At 50.7% G+C, this 3,881-nt stretch overlaps 1 protein-coding gene across 18 annotated transcripts in view; it reads right to left on the minus strand.

Annotated features, from left to right (window-relative positions):
- SOX5 (SRY-box transcription factor 5) overlaps positions 1 to 509 on the minus strand; it is a 1,033,147-nt gene extending 1,032,638 nt beyond the window's left edge. For 11 of the 18 annotated variants that reach the window (XM_024449157.2, XM_017019893.2, XM_024449154.2 and 8 more), the window contains exon 1: positions 192 to 350. The gene's annotated coding sequence lies outside the window, so the exon portion shown is untranslated. Of the gene's footprint in view, positions 1 to 191 lie in introns of all 18 variants that reach the window. The other 7 variants (XM_024449159.2, XM_024449158.2, XM_047429458.1 and 4 more) reach the window with 1 other exon arrangement.

Genomic DNA, 3,881 nt, shown 5'->3' on the forward strand with positions numbered 1-3,881 from the left:
TCCCCCTCCCTCTGTACTTGAGGAAACTCCGGCGGCGGCCCCCTCCCTCCTCCGCGGCTCTCCAGCTGGAGCCGGGAAGGAGTGCTGAGTGGCGGGCCCGGCGAGCGGCAGAGGGGAGCTCTGCGCCTTGGAGGTCTGCCCACAACAACATCGGGACGAACAACAAAGTTAAAACGCAGCGATTCACGCACCTTACCCGGTCTCGTTAATGCCTCCTCCGGCGTGGGATGCAAAGTGGCACAGAGGCGGGCTGGGGGCCCCCGGGAGGAGACTGGAGATGGGTTTTGGTGGCTCGCCTTTTTCACTCTGTGTGTGTGTGTCTGTGTGTGTGCGTGTGTGCCGGTGTGTGTGTGTGTGCGCGCGCGTGTCCCTCTCTCTCCCCCCGTCTCTCGCTCGCCCGCTCGCTCGCGCTCCCCGTGTTGCTCTCAAGGACGAGGTGAAATCCCTTTGCTGGTCATGAGGCGGCTTCAGAGACAAACAACACAATGCGAGTGCAAATAACAAAAGGCAAAAAGACAGTAGGAACAATGGGGGAGGCGAGGGCAGCGCACCAGCCGGCGGTCACCGCGGCCCGGCGCCCGCCCCGGGGGGTGCGGCGGGGGCGGGGGGGGGGCGCGGGGGCGGTGCCGGGGGCTCCCGCTCCCTCCAGGTCGCCCCCGAGCTCCCGCAAGCCCACCCTGACCTCCTTCTTGCAGCTCGCCGCCCGGCCGCCCTCTCTATCCATCCGAAGGGAAGGAGCCCCAGAGTTTTCTTCCCCGTCTGCTGCAGAGTAACTAGATTGTAAATAACGCGGCGATTACCCACACCGTGCAGGAATTTTTTTTTTATCTGCCCTCCACTTAAAGGAGCGATAAAAATGAAATGGCAGGAGTGGAAGGAGCCAGGGAGAGCGGGATATCTCTAGATCTCGATGGAGCTCGCATCTATAAATACGCATTCATGTTTAGTCAAGTCCCTTTGTCAACTTCTTCCCGGCGCCTGAGCCTCAGCCGCTGCTCTGCGCCCAGGACCTGGCCCCTCCCGGCCCCCTAGTCCAGTGGTCAGGCGGTCGGGCCGGCAGGGAGGGCGCGCGCGGGGGGCTGCGGGGTCCGTGGAACCTTTCCGGGAGGCGAGCCGCGGGCTGCTGGGCGCGGAGGCTGGAGCCGCGAGAGGTTCGGCTGCTGAAGCGGCCACTGCCTCCCAGAGCCAGGCTCCGCGCCGCGCGTCCCCGCCGCCGCCGGCACTGTGCACCCACCTACTCCTCGGAGATTGGGGTAGGGGAAAAAAGTTTTGAGGCGCTCTCATCTCTGCCTCCGGGGTGGTTGAACTGGTTTGGTTTTGTGTTAAGCGAAGCCAAAAAAAAAAAAAAAATCACCACACACACACACACACACACACACACACACACACACAGACACACACACACACCCCAACCCAATGCCCAAGAACCAGGGAATGAAATTTAGTGATATTTAGGGAGAAATAAGGCTGGGCGCTGGGCTCCGACTCTTTCTGCCGCGACACTTGAGTGGGCGCGTGGAGCCGAGAGAGACCCTCAGAGTCCCATCCCCATCAGAAGAAACTCCGTCGGTGATGCCCTGAGCAGAAGCTGTGGGGCTGATTTAAGTGTGTGCTCTGACAGCTCCCGGGCTGCTCCGGCGCTTATCTCTTCTAATCTTACTTTCATTGACTTAAAACAGCTGCCGGTTTGCCAGGGGAAAAAAATCCTATTAAATCTCAAACCAGGGTGGGGCGGGGGCGGGGGTTCCTGACAGTGATCTTCCCAGAGCTAGTGTCCAGAAAAGAGCAGGGGGAAGGGAGAGCATTCACGGGGGTGGCTGCGTGTTGGGAAGGGGGTGATGGAAAGGGGACTAAGGAAACAATTCGAGCAACACGTTTCTTTTCCTCGCTGTAGCCTTCTCTCCTTTTGCTTTTATGCCGAGGTGCGTGTTCTCTGTCCCCATCTCTGTAATTCTCTGCAGACGCGCAACCATGGACTGCGCCGCGTCCCTGGGCACCCCCAGCATTACCCAGAGTGCAACAACACCATCAGGAGATCAATGACCAGACTCTATTTATTCTTCACGCGCCTAGAAGAGCAGGACTCCGGAGGAGCTTGGGAGCGAGGCTCGGGGCTTGGCTGTCTCTGGGCGATCTCTCCCAGACTTTTTCGGGCTGATTTCTAAACGGCAGTTAGTAAGCAAATGTAATTTCTCAATGCATGCCACACATACCAATCACAATATATTCACCTAGGAAAGTGAGACATCCTTTCTACCCCTTTCCACCCTTGGTAGATTTGTTTCTGGAGGTGGGTTGCTAATACCTGAGATTTTACACTTGTCAAGGGCGGAAACTTTCCCGGGTGTTTGATGATTGATTATGTGGTACCTGTTTTCTAAAAACGGCTAAACACCTTTCCCTGGAACAAAAGTGAGAAATGTAAATCTTAATAACTCAAGGCAAAAATTTCAAAGTGTAAGCACAGCTATTATCCACTCCCACAAAGAAAAGCTTCCTCTTACACAAATATTTGATAGCATAGAGCCCAGTAATTAAGAGAACAATCAAATAAGCTCAGGGCTTTCGTGGGGACTTTAAATTATCATCTGCCTAGAATTTATAAGCAGTGCAATCATTTGCTGCTTGGATATAACTCTGGATATGGCAATCTAAATGTCCATCCTTAAGCAATTTTACTATGTGTTCCTAAGTATTTAATGAGAGAGATGGATAATAATAATATTCAAATTGCTGGTTCAATGTAGCTTCATCAACTGTGTGAAAAAATTGTGTGTGTGTGTGCATGAAACACATTTCCTATATGTTTCCTTTCCTTACATTTTCTCTACCATGCAAGTTTCACATCAGAGCCACTTGCACATATGGCATAAGAATTCGTTGATGATCGTACTCCACCTTAAATTTAAGTGTTACTTTTATTCTAAGAGTTCCCAGTGTATGTTGAATGGTTTCTTCTCTTTTTGTTGTTGTTGTTGTTGTCGTTGTTGTTGTTTGTTGAATGGTTTATTCTCATAGTACATATGTAGTTGCTTTACAAAGTTAGCTATTACTATGTCAGGCCCAGTTCCTTAAATACTGTGCAAGAAGCAAACAGGGCCCAACTACAAAACAAGTTGCCTCTCGCTACTACTTATATGAACATACTTAACGTTTGAAAAGGGATTGTCATTTACAGTGAACATCTGCTGGGTCGTAATCCCTTTCTCTCAGACAACACCCAGGGAAGAAAAAGTCTTCTGGCACCTGACCAGTAGGTTACGAACCTACCTGCTTGGCCTAACCCCACCAAGCAAAGCAGTGCCACCTCCGCAGATTTTCAGCCTCTACTGCTTCTTGAGTGTAACCGTTTCTGGGGCCACTAGGCTTCCTACTGGCAGAAGAAGGGAAGCCAGAGGGAGAGAAGGCACAAAGTTCCAAAACTGCCTAGTGAGATACTGGTGAAACTTGAATTACACCAATCTCTTTCCTCCTTTCGTTCCTACAGGCAGCATAACTTCCAACCACATATAGTTATTGAAACCACATGCCCTTAAGACTAAACCATGATCATTATACAGCAACAGCATAGCTGATCAAAAACTTCCAGTGGGATGTTTGTTTGTGTTGGGCTTAAAAAAAAAATACCCTAATTTGTAGCGGGACTGACACATTAAAGATCAGCGTTTCCATTTATTAAGCATTTGCTATGTACCAGGATGTTGGCCAAATGCTTTTTTAAAAATGTATTTTGTGTCTCCTTCTCACCACAAACTTGCAAGAAATTTTACATCCCTGTTCTTCAGATGAGAAAACTAAAGCTCAGAAAGGTTAAATGACTTGTCCAAGACCATGCAGTTTTTAAGTGATTGACCCAGGATGCAAATCCATTGTCCAGTGTC

This window comes from Homo sapiens, chromosome 12 (assembly GCF_000001405.40).
Source record: "Homo sapiens chromosome 12, GRCh38.p14 Primary Assembly".
NCBI lineage: Eukaryota > Metazoa > Chordata > Mammalia > Primates > Hominidae > Homo > Homo sapiens.